The 17268-nt window shown below is 37.8% G+C and overlaps 1 long non-coding RNA gene across 1 annotated transcript in view, besides 1 other annotated feature; it reads left to right on the top strand.

Annotated features, from left to right (window-relative positions):
* The first annotated feature begins 1443 nt into the window (after positions 1 to 1443).
* LINC02234 (long intergenic non-protein coding RNA 2234) overlaps positions 1444 to 17268 on the top strand; it is an 82718-nt gene continuing 66893 nt past the window's right edge. The window contains exon 1 of the long non-coding RNA NR_146299.1: positions 1444 to 1686. This is a non-coding gene — a long non-coding RNA (long intergenic non-protein coding RNA 2234). The remainder of the gene's footprint in view (positions 1687 to 17268) is intronic.
* Positions 15088 to 15588: an enhancer, noted in NCBI's record as "H3K27ac hESC enhancer chr5:97190106-97190606 (GRCh37/hg19 assembly coordinates)". NCBI's record gives its function as "activates a minimal SCP1, AML or CMV promoter by ChIP-STARR-seq in naive H9 embryonic stem cells {active_cell/tissue: H9 hESC(naive)}" and the evidence as "EXISTENCE:reporter gene assay evidence [ECO:0000049][PMID:30033119]".

The following is a 17268-nucleotide window of genomic DNA, read 5'->3' on the forward strand; positions in this document are numbered from 1 at the left end:
AATGGGCCTTGTGTGTTATGAAAGGTATTTCAGGCAAAGCCACTGGGAAGCCGTGTGACTAGTGACAAGTTGTTTACCTCTCCGTATCACAGTGTTTTTATATAAAAGATGGAGATAATAATGCTGGCTGCCTCATCAGATACTTGTGAGAATGGAATGATTTTGCACATACATAAAAAAAAAATCATAAGTATTGGACAGATGCCAAGTTTACTGTTGAAAAATTTAAAGCAGAAAAATGATATCACACATCAAATCTCATCCAGAGTCCATGTCTTCTTTTATGGTATGTTTGGTATTTCCTGTATCATTATGACATTTTCCTAGTTTTCTTACACTAATAGGGTAAACAAAGCAAAGAATTGCCTAATCACCAGGAAGTTCATTAAGAATGGTTTAATTGAAATTAAATTTTCAGGCCACTTAATATCACTCAGACTTACCACTTTAAGGTTAATTTATCATGTTTTTTTATAGTCTATATTTGGACAGTTACCATAAACATGGCTTGATCAGCTCAATATTCTGTATAAATCTAACAGAAACCAGAGGCTCTCTTGCTGTATCTGTTTCCTAAAGAAAACAGTCCATGCCAAGTTTCTGTGGCAAAGGTCAGTACTTAATAGATACTGTGGTACAACTTAATAACCTTATAAAATTCTGGTTGTTAAACCACAACTTGGAATCATAGCCTTATTTTTTACATGTGCTCTCATGCACATAGATTTTGGTGCATAAACAGATTTCTTAAGCATTTTCACTTCTTTGACTTCAAATGTATGTAATATATTAAAAATGTATATTTTTGTGTTATTTTCACCAATGCCACCCTTGTTTCTTTTAGTTACACACTCTTTCAAGATAAAATTAGAAGACAGGTAATTGTAAAGTAATTATGTTATTGAATAACAAAGCACAATTGTTAGTGCTTTTTAAAATTATGTGGGAATAAGAGTCATGACAGACTTGCTTCAGGCACTGCAGTTTTCCCTCCCATTTCCTTGCCTCCTCTCACATCCTTTCTCCTCCTCTCCCCTTCTCTTCCTTCCCCTTTCCTTCCTCTCTCTTTCTCTCTCAATATAAAATCATCCCTGTAGGCAAAACTCTGGTATTTATTTCCATTAAGATGCTGAATGTTTTCCAAATCATTTTCCAAATCACTTATACATGAATAATTAAAAAACAATAAAAGGTATCAATATGTAAAACATTTCACTTGAATACATATTTGGAATTTTCACATAGCATTTTTACTTATAAATTAGGTGTCATACATTGAGATGAATTCATGTTTATGTATATATGCTAATTAGAACAATAAGAGGATTTTTAGCATTATAAACATGTTCTTTTCCACTCTACCAGTTTGCTCTTATATTTAAGTGCAAAAAAGAAGAGCACTTTTTGTCTGAGTATAACATTGGAATTTGAATTGAGGTTGTGGACAGTATGGCTACTGCAGTGTGGTTGCTAGAGGCACTCTGCTGATTTCGTATGTGTGGGTTGAATAGACTGCACTTTCAAATGGCACCTACATGAATCTAACTATAGCTTTGAAATAAATGAAAGGAAATGATTCAGCCCAACTGGAGTTTTCATAATGTGCTTAAACTGTGGACTGCAAGGATCCTGGGCGATTTTCTAGTCCTGACTCCATATGACAGATGGACACAAAGAGCCAGAAAGGTAAGACTGACAGCTATCGTTCCTGGAGAATGGAACCTCACCTCAGATGGAAGGAAGGCACATCCCTAGGCTTCTGCCAAGTCCAGATGGTCTTTACTAATTTCTTTTTGATGTTCTTTACTTTCAGCTTTAAAAATAATATTCATAAAAGTAATATGTGCCTTTCTATAAAGACAATGGTTTATTTCTCTCACTCTGCCTGTTTTAATGGCCTGTCTTGGTACTTTTCCAGTTTTTAAGGGGAAAGTAATAAAACTCAAATACCTTCTAGCTGTCCAGCTTACCACTCTGTAACTTCCTCATGTTATGCCCATCATTTTATAATACATACCTAGAGAACATTTTCATTTGATAGGACTTAAAGCCATACTAATAATATTAGCCACTGTCCTATTTTTGACTTAGAATAATTTCTTCATTTCCATTTCTCTAGTTAACTTCCTTTTATAGTCAAAATAAAAAGCTTACATTGTTTCCCTTCCAACATTAGGAACATAAACCAACTAACCAACGTATTACTAAGAACCAGAAAAAAATATTAACTATTCTGGAAATGGTAGATGGAACTTGATTCAGGAGGGCAACTTTTATGCCATGGAGATAAGAAGTATAAGAAAATGTTAAAAACAAAAGATTATATAACCCAAATGCTGAATATCTGTGAAGTCACATTGATCTGCTTTTTTACACATAAAATAAAACTATTACTGATGAAGAGACTGAATCTTCACAGTTTCAGTTCATGAGAACACATCATGACGTTCAATTTTTAAAGTCTCAGACAAAATGTTATATAATATAAATGAATACTGTAGTCTCTTGAATTCTGGCTTGTATAGAAATTTCTACAATATCCAGAAGAGAGGAAAAGATGAAGAAGAAGAAACGGAGTTCAGTGAGTGTAGTGTTTATCTAATTCCAACTTCAAGACATACATATCTGAGCATGTGTGCAGTGAGAGAGGAGCTGGGACATTGAGACTCAGAACAGCCCTGATCTTGGAGAAAACTGTAAGCTCTTAATGAGGGTCATGCACCAGGATGTGTAGAGACCAGCCCTGAGGTTGAGGACTGGAAAATGAATCCAGGCCCTTCCTGCAGAACGCCTTCTAGGCCACTCTAAAGGATCTAGATATTTTTCCCCCATAATATTTATCCCTGCTTTTCTTAATTTATTTTTCAGTTTATAGAAGTATATCCTTAATTTTTTCAAAAACAGTACACAGGAAAGAAAAATTCTGATGAAAGTTCTCATCTCCACTTCCTCTGGAAAACAGTATTTTGTCTTGTTTAACATAGGCCTTGCCTTTCTGATGCTGCTCCACTTTAAGTGTCTGGTGGGTTTTGGCTGTTTATTCATGTTTACGAATGAAGAATTAGGTAGATTAATGGGTCTTTTCTGCTGTTACTGACTTCTTCTCTGATAGCTCTCTATATTGGCAGGGTATGTTGACTGTGAGGTTTCAGGTAAATCCTTCGGTTCTCTTAGTGTTCAAACCACAACAGGGTCTCATCCCACGTGCTCTGTTTGCCTTTTCAGGCTGGGTTAGTCTGGGTCCCCTGAGAAGGAGATACCAAGATTAGAGGTGCAAGACATTAATTGGGGAAAACACCCATTAGAGGAACAGGGGAGAAAGGAAGATAAGGTGCAGAGAGCTTTCTGACCATGAGGCAAGCCTTACCTCTGTGAAGACAGGGAAGGAAGGAAGGCAGAATAGGTTGTCTTAGATGGCAGCACAGTTCCTAGAAAGATTATGCCAGGCTCTTGGGAACCTCTCAGGACAAAGTAGCATGTTAAAGAATTTCTGCATCTTGTAAGATGAGCCTGCCTCTGTGTTCCTGCCACTCTCAGTCATTGGCTGAGAGAGCAGGAAGTGTGGTCTTTGAGTGTATTATGGTGGTACAGTCAGAGTGCAACAGCTGGAGATGTCAACCAGTCACTCTCCCTGTTGCTGAACAGCCGAGTAATTCACTTTCATGGTTGCCACACATGCCCCCATCAAATGTGGAGTTTATTTCTGCTCTGCAGAAATCTGTGCTGGGCATGTTACCTGCTTTGGTCAAAAGAACAACAGAAATGATTACATGTAACATATGAGACTGAGGTTTAGATCATGCAATTTCTTTCCATGTCATTTGCTCATAAGGCTTTTTTCATTTGCTCAGAAGGCTTTGTTTGTTTGTTTCTTTTTGTTGTTGTTGTTTTTGGAAATGAGATGCCATGAAAGAAGTCTAAATGCCCTGAGATGACCATGAAGAAAATCACTTCAGCCACATAAAGAAAGAAAATCCACATGAATAATCATGGTGATGACAAACATGCAGACAAAGCCTTTTTGGATCTTTTTGCCCAGCCCAGTTACCAGCCCAGTTACCAGCTGAGAGATTGATCCCAGACAAAAATACGTGGAGCAGAAGCACTGCTCTGCCCAAAATCACAATTCAAAGCATCATAAACAAAATACAACGGTTGTAGTTTCCAAACTCTTTTATTTTAAATGTACTTGTTACTGTATGGAGGCGCCTACCTTAGTATCCTACCACACTCAGATAGTGGCTGTGAGCAGCCCACAAGAAGCCTAGCCTTTGAGTGGATATGGCTAATGATGTTTCCAGGGAGAATATTGGAAATTTTAACTGACCTCTTTTAATTGTCTATTATAAAGTGAGAGAAATCAAGCAAAAAAGGAGCTGTTTCATATTCAAGCAGAATTTACAGGAACTATTTTTAACTTAGGACATGCCAGGTTAGAAAATAAAACTATGTCTCCTTCCCAGCTTCTCCAGCTGGCACAGTCTCCAAATTAGGAAATGGAAGCAGAGCCAAAATTAAATCCAAGGTGCTGCCTGTAAAATGTGGCTTTGGGGTCAATATTAAGTCAAAGATCTTCCTAGAAGACGCTTTGTGAAGAAATAAAAAAAAATTTAGTGGTATATTGCTTTGATCTCTGCTTGAATAAAGGGCACCTAAGGATGTCAAATGATTTCTCCCATGGAACCCTGATTCACAAACTAAAGCAGAGGGGCACATGTCTTTTTGTCTAAGGAGTGGGTTATAATTCAATGTATAGAAAAGACACATATCTTTTATAGAAACTGTACCAGTTTGGACTGAAATGGACAAGAGATTTCAAAATGAAGTGAGGCCTATGGGCCCCCAAACTTTCACACACAGGAAACAAGCTGAGAAAATCACTCAGCTGCAAACATGGGCAATGTCTTTTGCAACATGGTACAACAACATGGTATAGCTACACTGCCAGAAGACCCACTTCTGGAGAGCAGATCTGGACTTTAATCAGTGTACATTTATTTTCCCCACAGCACCAGGGGTTGACGACATATGCTAGGTGGATTTCAAAATTGCTGTGGATGACTGACTACTGTGTAGTTTCCTGTTTTTTCCTCCTTTTTTGAATGACAGGGGCTGTTGCAGTTATTCTGTTTCTATTTTCCCAATATATGTTGGGTATGGGTCAAGAAAAATATCTTTTAGTTTTTTATCCATTCATCTCTGAAGATAAGATGCCCAAAGAATAACACCTGAAGAAACTTATTCTCACCTGGGCCCAATTTAGATAAAGAAATTCTTGTCCTCAAGCCTAGGTCTGATGTAATAGAATGAAATTTTGGGGGAGAGTGACGAGTGTGTTTTTCATGAGAGAGGAAATTTTTGTGGACTGAGGGCAGAAGGTGTGTTTCCAAAATTGGTCCCCAAAATACTTGTTATCCCATATGCTATTTTGCAGTGTGACTTTACCTTGACCTCATTAATTATGAAGTCTATTTCCCCTCTGCTGGAATCTGGGCTTTCCTTGGTATCTGTGTTTCCAACAGAATATAGCAGAAGTGACTATATAAAACTTCCCAGTCTGGGAAGTCTATGGCCTCTGCCTTTACCACTTGGAAGCCAATGGCCTTGTGAGAAGAGCCACTGTTTCAAGGTCATCCTGCTACCGAGAAGCCCAAGCTAGCCATGTATAGAGAGGGCTGCCACGTGGAGGCGCACTGAGGAAGCAATGCGAGTGAAGCTTTCTCAGACCTTCTAGTCCAGCCTAGCTGCAAGCCAGCTGCAGCTGACTGAATAATCCCTGTGCAGTGGGAAACTCTCACTGCCCCCAATCCTGGTCCATATATTTATGAGCTAAACTGCTAACTTTTGGAACATTTTATCATGCAGTAATAGATAACTGAAATAGGGACAACTCTCCAGTCTTAGAACATTCTAGCTTCACCCGTATCAATTCCTCAATTTCCTTAGTTAGTAAGTTTCTGGTGTTAGCCCAGGGGGTACACATGGCTACTGCACTTGTTTGGGACATTGATTTGTGTAGCTTGTGCAATTGCAGTTTTTGATCAATCATCTCATTTTGTGCTCTGTCTCCTATTCTGACTTGTTATATTTATCAACACCACAGAATTTCTTCATGAGAAACAAACAAACAAAAACCAAATAAAATTAAAACACACACACACACACACAACTTCCTCTGCTGCATTTTTCTCCCATGGGAACCTTTCTTTTTTTCCTGAAGTGTGCCTTAATCTTAGTTCAATTTTCCACTACCTTCCATTCTCAGAGTTTTAATGAATTTATTCTTTATTTAATAACTTTACAATCATTCAGTGTTTAGTGGGATGTAGGAGGAGTAAACTTGAGTGTCTAATCTATATTTGGAACAAGAAGTCCATTCACCTACATTCTAATCATTATTCATTAATTCCTTTATTATTTCAACAAAAGAATCTTCATACATAAAGGATCATAGTAGTTCTTAAGCATATTCTGTTAAGAGCTTACAATACAATGAAGAAGACAAGCATTTGAACAGGTAACTAACACAAGTCAAGGTGAAATGAGAGCTGGAAGGGAGCAGAAAATGTCACTCTTTATTATATTATAGTTGAAGTTCTGGGATACACGTGCAGAATGTGCAGGTTTGTTACATAGGTCTACAAGTGCCATGGTGGTTTGCTGCACCCATCGACCTGTTATCTACATTATGTATTTCTCCTAGTGTTATCCCTCCCCTAGCCTCTCCACCCACCGACAGGCCCCAGTGTGTGATGTTCCCCTCCCTGTGTCCATGTGTTCTCATTGTTCAACTCCACTTACGAGCCGCTCTTATTTCTGATGTAGAAGTGTGGAGATGACTTGACAGAGGAGCACACATGTGAGCACCCAGCACTTGGCACGCAGCCTAATGTGCTCAAGTAGGTACATGAAAGAGATTTGTTCATTGAAATGTTTAATGAAGTCTTGAGTCTTGAAGCATGAGTATGACTTCAATAATCAGACAAGATGAGATGAATTTTCATGCCCAGGGAAAAGCAGGAATTAAGATTTGAAAGAACCAACAATGGTACCAGACAGTCTCCTAGCGTGTCTGGGGTGCTGGATATGTGGAGGGATGAAGTGACCTATCTGGCTCCAAAAGTAGTAGAAATGATAGTAACATATATATAATTTATAAGAATATATACATAAAAATATTTCTTTTTTTCGTTGATACTGGGAAGTTTCTTAAATGCAGTAGTGATCAAATATGAGAAGAAAGTAATGATGAAATTATATTGACTTGGCAATTGTTAGGAAGTGAAAGATGAGAAATAGAGGAAAATCAAAGAGAATTTTCAGATTTTTAGCTTGAGGACTCATATTTAGCTGCTTCCAATGAAAGCAGGTGAAAACAAACAAGTATTTCAAAAAAACCTGCATCAGAGCTTTTCAACTGAGACAGTTTATGTATAATGTAATTAGCAGGGAAATGGTGGCAAAGGACCTCTCTATGGGTCAGATGCCCACTTCTCTCTTCCACAGTTGTGATCACATGACCTAGATTGTGAAACTGAGCTGCCACTTAGTCTGATTCATTAAACAGTGTCCTAAACATAGACACTAAAGTAGTAACATGAAATCTTGGCAGATGGCTGTTAATGGAGATCTGAAAACCCATTATCTGGTAACTTACCCATATATTATTTTTTCTTATAAAAATCAATTATTCAGAACATAGGTAGCCCTTAATAGCATTTAAAAGAGCACACTGAAAGAGCTCATTTCTGGTGAAAATTCAATGAAACTCTTTCAGCCTCAATCCCAAGAAAGCAAGAAAAAATGGTTGTGATATTTCAAATCGAAACTAATTTGTTAACCTTTATGGACACTTTTGAAAACTTTATTCCAAACAGTACCCGAATTATCTGAGAAGGAATCCCATTGGATTCACAATCTTAATAAGAATTCTATCCTGTTTGTTGTTTCTGGATCTTTTTGCCATACACTATTTCATCGCTCAAAAACTTTCTGAATGGTTAACATATTCTCCCCGTTTTCTTACACCAGGCCTCTTACATGAGGACCTTCTTCCCTTTAGCCTGCAGGTTTTATCTGTTGTTTATGTATAAATGCTTTTCTCAGTAAAAAAAATATAAATCTTAAAGTTAAGAATGAGTGTGAGATAAACAGACCTCTGGTTAACCTGAGCCTTTATATCCTAGATGAAAATCAACCCTTTCTGAACTGCAAAATAATCTTCTATTTCTCTCCCCCTCATTCCACTCTACCTTCTAATGTAAAACTCATTCACATTAAGGCATCAGTGAATGATATTTCTCCTTAAAGTTATCTGATTTTAAAAGCTTTTTCAACAAATATCTGAAATGTTGAAGTTATAGTTTCTGGAAGATCTTAAAGCACAGATGTGCAGGAAAGTATTCAAGAGTTGAAAGATGATTAGCTTAAAGTTCCATGAAGTTAGATGACCAGTGAAAGAAATTTAATAAATAAGGAGCCAGTTTGGAAAAGAAGAGTCTTTCCAAGATTTGAAAATCACATGATATCAGAAACTATCTACTTTCCAGTTTACAAAGCCACCATTTAGCTGGGTAGGTTAGTAGCCACATTTCCTCTTATTTCTATTACCCTAGCCCAGACCATCTGAAATGCAATTGTGAAACACAGATGAGTGGAGTTACTAATTATGAAGAGAAACCAAACAGGGAAAATTCTTGATTGAGAGTCAGTGGGAGTGTTAGCAGTTCTCTCTTCTGATAGATGCCATGCTATTGGGAGATAAAGGCAGTTGACAGAAAACCTATAAATAAGGTTGCTATTAGATGTGGGCACAAGAGAAATAAAAGCACAGTATAGATTTAAAATATTGACTTACACAGAGGGAAAAGAGATGGCAAGCACCAAAACAAATCTACCGAAGTGTTCAACAGAAACAATTCTAATATTAAGAAATCTCATTAGCAATTTATCATAAGAGTATGTGGACACAAATGAGATTTAAACTAATATTTCCAGGTGGTACCTTAGCTCTGTATCTCCATGGACTTAGAAACATTGATCAAGTTAACATGACCTATTATAATTAAAACTCAGCCAAGAGAGTGTACTAAAGAAAATTTATGGGATTGGACTTCTGTAAGAGCTCCATAACCTGATGAATCATTACCCCCAATCTCGGCTGCTATAGCTCCACAGCTCTCATTATAATTCTAGTGAGAAAAGCACTTAATGAAACAGTTCTGAGGAGGAAGCATGTTTATCAAACTTTGCTAATTGTATTGTCCTTTGACCATCTAAGAGCTCTACTGATGAGACCTTAAGGGAAGGTCTACTGTCAAAGGCAGGATCCAGTTGATCTCTACTTAAAAAGAGTAATTTTTCTCCACTAAAAAAGTTGGCAATGATAAAAAGATTATTTTTTTCTTTCTATCCAGGAAAAACTTGAACCTCAAACTGTAAAATAGTAAAAAGGTATCCTTACCACTTTTTCCCTAATTTATGCTTTATTAGCCATACTCTACTGGTTGTGCCAACAGTCCTAATTTGAGATTAAAATAAAAGCTACATTAACTACTCAACTTGGTAAAGGTATACCATAGCACACATATAGTATGCTATTTCCATAAGCCTGCCCGAATTTGTGCCCACTTCTTTTCTATTTCTTCTCCCTTTTATTTGTAGAGTCTGAAAGAAGTGACTGGGACTGAAAATAGAACATTAAAAAATATGCTTTATTTTTAAAGTCAGGTATATTTAGGTATACTAAACATATCGTACAATTTACCTTTTAGATATATAGTTCTATGAGTTTTGACAGACGCACAGAGTTGTATAGCCACCACCATGATCAAGGTATGGAATATTAAAATGGGATAATTGTTTCTAAAAGTTTTTAGAAAAATGATGAGTTGGGAATGACTGAGATGGTTAAATAGAAGAAGTTGATTACAGTGAGAAAGACCATGAGAAAATAAGGCTGAAGTGTCAAATCAAGGAGGTGGGCTAAAAGAATGCAGTGTGAATGATAAAGGTTGGAAATTTGGACTCTGTGAAAAAGACCATATATACATACAGGAGACCTGAAGGCAGGTGGCAGAAGGGGAAGTACTTTGATCCTTCACATTATGTCCTTCTTCACACCCAGAGACTCCTTCCTGCCTTGTTTTTCCCAGTCACCTCTATCTTCCCCACTACATGAGTCCTTTATAGCCGGAACAACTGCATTATACCCCGTGAGCTTTACATTAATTGTTTAATCTCGTGAAGTTATGGGGCAATAATTTTTCAACTTTAGTGAGATTCATAATTGTCTGTGGAGCATTTAAAAATACTTGTGACTAGATAAACTCTCAAAGATCATGCTTCAGTTATTTTTTGGTGGAACTTCTTTTAAATGTAATTGGATGTTGGAAAACAGAGTAAAATATTTTAGTATCAGGAATACTTACAGACACAAAATATGCCATGAAGTGATTATACAGTGAGACCTCTTTCTGTTAGGATGCTAGGGTGCACCCTACACAAAAGCAAACCTCACTCTGGACCAGCTCTTACTCCTTGCCCCACACAGAGTTGAGGAAGGGTCAAATAACTGGCTGGAGAATTGTGAAAGCTACCAATTAGTTATTGTAGTCTTCAACATCTCTCTGTAACCATTTCTTCTATATAATATCCTTCTCTCCATTCCCTTCTCATTTTTTAAATATACGTCCTCAAGCAGGAAAGGATTGGTAGTCATTTATATTCAGACTGAAACGTATTCATTCTCCTCTACTAAATCTCTTAGCATTTTCTAGCTGCTTAATTCTGACTAAAATAATTTTTTAAAAACTTTTATTAAAGCACGGACCATAAAACAGCAACTTGCCATACGAATATGCATCATATTTGGTAAACAATATCTTTTTCACTGAACTTACTTGATCTTTTTCTATATTTATGTATTTTTATTGTTTAACATATTTTTTAACTGACAACACTGTATATATTTATTGTGTACAACATGATGTTTTGAAATATATATACATTGTGGAATGGCTAAATCAAGTAAATTAATGTATGCATTACCTTATGTAGTATTTTTGTAGTGAGAACACTTAAAATCTACTGTCATCATTTTTCAAAAATACAATACATTGTTATTAACTACAGTCACTATGTTGTACAATAGATCTCTTGAACTTACTCCTCTTTTCTAACTTAAGTTTTGTATCCTTTGATATTGGTACATAATAGTTTAAATGTAATTTGAATTAGGTGCCAATATTTAAAAATGAAGATATTTTATACAAACTATATAATTTTTTTTTTTCTGAGACAGAGTCTCACTCTGTTGCCCAGGCTAGAGTGCAGTGACGCGATCTCCGCTCACTGCAACCTCCACCTCCCGGGTTCAAGTGATTCTCCTGCCTCAGTCTCTGGAGTAGTTGGGATTATAGGAACATGCCACTGTGCCCAGCTAATTTTTGTATTTTTAGCAGATACAGGGTTTCACTATGTTGTCCAGGCTGGTCTCGAACTCCTGACCTCAAGTGATCTGCCTGCCTCGGCCTCCTAAAGTACTGGGATTACAGGCTTGAGCCACTGCGCCTGGCCAACAAACTATATAAATTTTTTCCTGGGTAAAATGTCTGTAATTTAAAATACTTTAATGTAATTAGTGTCATATTACATAGCTGTATGTTTTTTTTTTTCATTTTAATTCTAAAAGTGATCAGCCAAAGCTAGTAATTTGCAGGAAGGGCCATACACCTAAGACAGCTGTTTTAAGCCCTCTTTTTGCTTTCTTCTAATAATATATTTTTATTGGTGAAATGCTGGTCTTGCTCTTTCCTTTCTCCAACTCTGCTGCTCTTATTTGCATTTCCCATCTGGCCCTGTGGACATGGGCATCTATGAAAACTGCACTGAAGGAATTTCAGATCCTGTCAAGCAGGTATGGCAGCAGCTCTCAGATAAGGAGACTTCTTTCAGTGTTCAAAGTCATGTGAATGAAAAGCCCTGAAGATAAATTTGCATTATTCATTTTGGCTCTTAGAGGGAAAATATTAGACAGCCATTTAGAACCATTGAAATGTCCGAATTCTCTTCCTTTCTCTTTCCTATCTTTTAATCTTAATCTTTTCTGTCTTTCCTATCCTTCTGCCCTAATATCACACAGCTGGAGATCCAGAGGTCTTTTATGCCCTCTCCCCATAGTGCCAATGCCAGCTAATGAAAGCCAGCCATATGAGACAAAAAGCTGGTTCTTTGAAAAGATAAAAACAGAATTGACAGACCATTAGTGAGATTAACCAAGAAAAGAAGAGAGAAGATCTAAATAAGCTCAATTAGAAACTAAACTGGAGAAATTACAACCAATACCACAGAAACACAAAAGATCATTCAAGGCTACTATGAACACCTTTATGTGCACAAACTAGAAAATCTAGAGAAAATTGTTAAATTCCTGAAAATATACAAACGTCCCTAGATTAAATGAGGAAGAAATAGAAACCCAGAGCAGAGCAATAACAAGTAGTAATATTGAATCAGTAATTTAAAAAAATACCTAAAAAAGAAAAGCCTAGGACCAGAAGGATTCACAGCTGAATCATATCATCTGACATTCCAAGAATTGGTACCAATTCTGCTGAAACCATTTCAAAAGATAGAGAAAGAGAGAATCCTCCCTAAATCATTCTATGAAACCAGTATCAACCTAATACCAAAACCAGGAAAGGACATAACAAAAAAAGAAAACTACAGACCAATATTCCTGATGAAGATAGATGTGAAAATTCTCAAAACACCAGCTGGCTGAATCCAACAGTATACCAAAAAGAAAATACATCGTGATCAAGTGGGTTTCATACGAGGGATGCAGGAATGGTTTAACATAATGGTTTAACATCAATACCTGTGATACATCACAAAAATAGAATCAAAAACAAAAACCATATGATCATTTCAATTGACATAAAAAATATTATTTGATAAACCCCAGTGTCCCTTTATGATAAAACCCTAAACAAAATAGGCATAGAAGGGACTTACCTCAAAGTAGTAAAAGCCATGTATGACAAACCCACAGCCAACATCATACTGAATGGGGAAAAGTTGAAAGCCTTCTCCCTGAGAACTGGAACAAGACAGGGATGCCCACTTTCACCACGTCTATTTAACATAGTACTGAAAGTCCTAGATAGAGCAATCAGAAAAAAGAAAGAAAGAAAGGGCATCCAAACAGGAAAAGATATGTCAAACTGTCACTATTCACAGATGATATGGTTGTATAACCTGAAGACTCATCCGAAAAGATCCTAGATCTGATAAACAAGTTCAGTAAAATCTCAGCATACAGTCAATGTACACAAATCAGTAGCACTGCTATATGTGAACAACAAAACTGAAAATCAAATAAAGAACTCAATCCCTTTATGACAGCTGCAAAAATAAATCAATAAATAAAATACTGAAGAATATACTTAACCAAGGAGGTTAAAGATCTCTACAAGGAAAACTACAAAACACTGCTAAAAGAAATCATAGATGACACAAACAAATGGAAACATCGATGCTCATTGATAGAGAGAATCAATATTGTATAAAATGACCACACTGCCTAAAGCAACCTACAGATTCAATGCAATTCTCATCAAAATACCATCAGCATTCTTCATAGAACTAGAAAAAACATTCCTAAAATTCATATGGAACCAAAAAAGAGTCCGCATAGCAATACTAAGTAAAAAGAACAAATCTGGAGGCATCACATTACTCAACTTCAAACTGTACTACAAGGCTATAGTTACACAAACAGCATGTCACTAGTATAAAAATAGGCACATAGACCAATGGAACAGAATAGAAAGTCCAGAAATAAAGCCAAATGCTTACAGCCAACTGATCTTTGACAAAGCAAACAAAAATGTAAATTGGAGAAAGGACACCCTATTCAATAAATGGTGCCGGGAAAATTAGCAAGCCAGTAGAGGAAGGAAACTGTATTGTAATCTCTCACCCATACAAAAATCAAATAAAGATGGATCAAGGACTTAAATCTAAAGCCTGAAGCCATAAAAATTCCAGAAGATAACATTGGAAGAACTTTTCTAGACATTGGCTTGGCAAATAATTCATGACTAAGACCTCCAAAGCAAATGCAAAAACAACAAAAAAAGTGCATGGGACCTAATTAAACTAAAAAGCTTATTCATAGCAAAGGAAATAATCAGCATAGTAAACAGAAAACCCACAGAATGAGAGAAAATGTTTGCAAAGTATACATTTGACGAAGGACTAGTATCCAGAATCTACAAGGAACTTAAATCAGCAAGTAAAAAACAAATAATCTCATCAAAAAGCAGGCAAAGGACATGAATAGAAGAAATCTCAAAAGAAGATATACAAATGGCCAATAACCATATGAAAAAATTCTCAATATCACTAATCATCAGGGAAATACAAATTAAAACCATAATGATATAATGAGATAACACCTTACTCCTGGAAGAATTGCTATAATTTAAAAAGTCAAAAAACAATAGATGTTGGCATAGATTTAGTGAAAAGAGAACACTTTACAGTGCTGATGGGACTGTAAATTATTAGTACAACAACTATAGAAAACAGGATGGAGATTCCTTAAATAATTAAAAGAACTATCATTCGATCCAGCAATCCCACTATTAGGTATTTACCCAAAGGAAAAGAAGTCATATGAAAAAGACACATGAACACACATGTTTATAGCAGCACAATTTGCAATTGCAAAGATATGGAACCAACTTAAGTGCCCATCAACCAACAAATGGATAAAGAAAATGTGCTATATATTCACCATGGAATACTACTCAGCCATAAAAATGAATGCAATAATGTCTTTTGCAGCAACTTGGATGGAGCTGGAGGTCATTATTCTAAGTGAAGTAACTTAGAATTGAAAAACAAATATTGTATGTACTCACTTATAAGTAGGAACTAAGCTATGAGGAAATAAAGGCATAAGAATAATATACTGGACTTTGGGGACTTGAGGAGAAATGTTGGGGGGGTGGGGGATAAAAGACTACACATTGGGTACAGTGTACACTTCTTGGGTGACAGGTGGACTAAACCGTCAGAAATCACCATTCAAGTATTTATTGGGAGTGGCCAAGATGGCCAACTAGAAGCAGCTACGGTGCACGTCTCTCACAGAGAGGAATGAAAACGGTGAGTTAATACAGCTCCTTCAACTGAAACATCCATGTACTTGCATTGGGACTATTAAAGGAAACAACTCAACCCACAGAGAATGAAGAAAAGCAAGGCAAAAACGATAGCCCTCCTGGGAGGGACACAGAGCCAAGGGAACCTCCCCCACCCAGGGAAGTGGTGAGTGAATGTGCATCCCTGGGAAAGCAGGCTTCTTCCATGGATCTTTGCAACCCCTCAGGTCAGGAGATCCCCTCATGAACGCACTCCACCGAGGCATTCAGTCTAACATACAAAGCTCTGTGGAGTCTTGGCAGAGCAGCCACTCAGGCACGTACAGAGTTCCAGGAGCTTTACATACTCTGGCTCTGAGCTTCCCAGCAAAAGTAGCTGCAACTTTGGCAAGATGGGAGGTTGGACCTTTTTACATACCCCTAGGAAAGAGACTGACTCTTAGGGGCCAAGCAGCAATGGTCTGCGGGCCCCACTTCCATGGCATCTTACAAGATAAGACCCACTGGATTGGAATTCCAGCCAGCCACTGGCAACAGTATTGGGCCTCCTTTTGACAGAGTTCTCGGGGGAGGGATAAGCTGCCGTCTTTGCTATTTGGATGACTCAGCCATTCCAGTCTGTGAGCTTTGGAGAGTCCAGGCCAACTAGGGGCAGAAGGGACCCCCTAGCACAGCACAGCTGCTCTACCAAAATGTGGCCAGACTGCTTCTGTAAGCACGTTCCTGATTGGTTCCTCCTTACTAGGCAAAACCTCCCAACTGTGGCCTCCAGACACCCCCACTGGTGTTCTCTGGCTGATCAGAGATTTGAATTCTCTCCTGACAGAGTTCCCAGAGGGAGGAGTCTGCTTAGATGTTCCAGCTGTGGGCTTCAGAGACCCCAAGCCAACCAGGACAGAAGCGGTACTCCAACACAGCACAGCTGCTCTATGAAAGCATGAGTAGACTGTTTCTTTAAGTGGGTCCCCTATTTCATTCCTCCTTACGGAGTGGAAGTTTCCAACTGGGGCTTCCTGCCAATCCTGCCAGTTTTCTCTGGCCAACAGAGAATTGAAAACCTTTGGTGACAGAGCACGCAGAGGGATAGGTGGGCCACCATCCGTGCTGCTTGGGTGACTCAGCCATTCCAGCCTCCAGGCTTTGGGGAGCCCAAGCTGACTAGGAGCAGAAGCAGTACCCCAGCACAACACAGCTGCTGTATAAAAACATGGCCAGACTGATTCTTTAAGTGGGTCCCCCGGTCCTGTGCCTCCTGACTGAGTGAGACCTCCCAGCCAGGGTTTCCAGCCACCTTCTACAGGTGCATTCAGGCCAGTAACAGGTCTGTACCTCCCTGGGATGGAGCTCCCCGAGGAAAGGGCAGGCTGCCATTTTGGCTGTTTCATAGCCTTCACTGGCAATACCTTAATGTACTGGAATATCTGAGGTGACTAGGGACTGGAGCAGACCCACACAAAACACAGAAGCCCTATGGAAAAGTGGCCAGACTGTTAAAAGAAAAAAAAAAACCCACCCAAAGGCCAGCAACCTTAAAGTTTGAAGGTAGATAAGCCCACAAAGATGAGAAAGAATCAGCACAAGAATGCTGAAAACTCAAAGCCAGAGTGCCCTCTTTCCTTCAAATGACCACATCACCTCTCCTGCAAGGGTTCAGAACTGGGCTGAGATTGAGATGGTTGAAATGACAGAAGCAGAATTCATGTCACTGAGTCATTGAGCTAAAGGGGTACATTGAAACCCAATGCAAAGAAACTAAATATCACGATAAAACATTGAAGGAGCTGACAGACAAAATAGCCAGTACATAGAAGAATAAAGTCAAACTGATAGAGCTGAAAAACACACTATGAGAGTTTTATATTGCAATTACAAGTATTAATAGCAGAATAGATCAAGCAGAGTAAAGATTCTCAGAGCTTGAAGACTACCTTTCTGAAATAAGACAGGCATACAATAATAGAGAAAAAATATTGAAAATGAATGAACAAAACCTCTGAGAAATATGGGATTATGTAAAGAAACTGAATCTATGAATGATTGATGTACCTGAAAGAGATGGGAGAATGGAACAAATCTGGAAAACACATTTCAAGAT

Source organism: Homo sapiens, chromosome 5 (genome assembly GCF_000001405.40).
Source record: "Homo sapiens chromosome 5, GRCh38.p14 Primary Assembly".
NCBI lineage: Eukaryota > Metazoa > Chordata > Mammalia > Primates > Hominidae > Homo > Homo sapiens.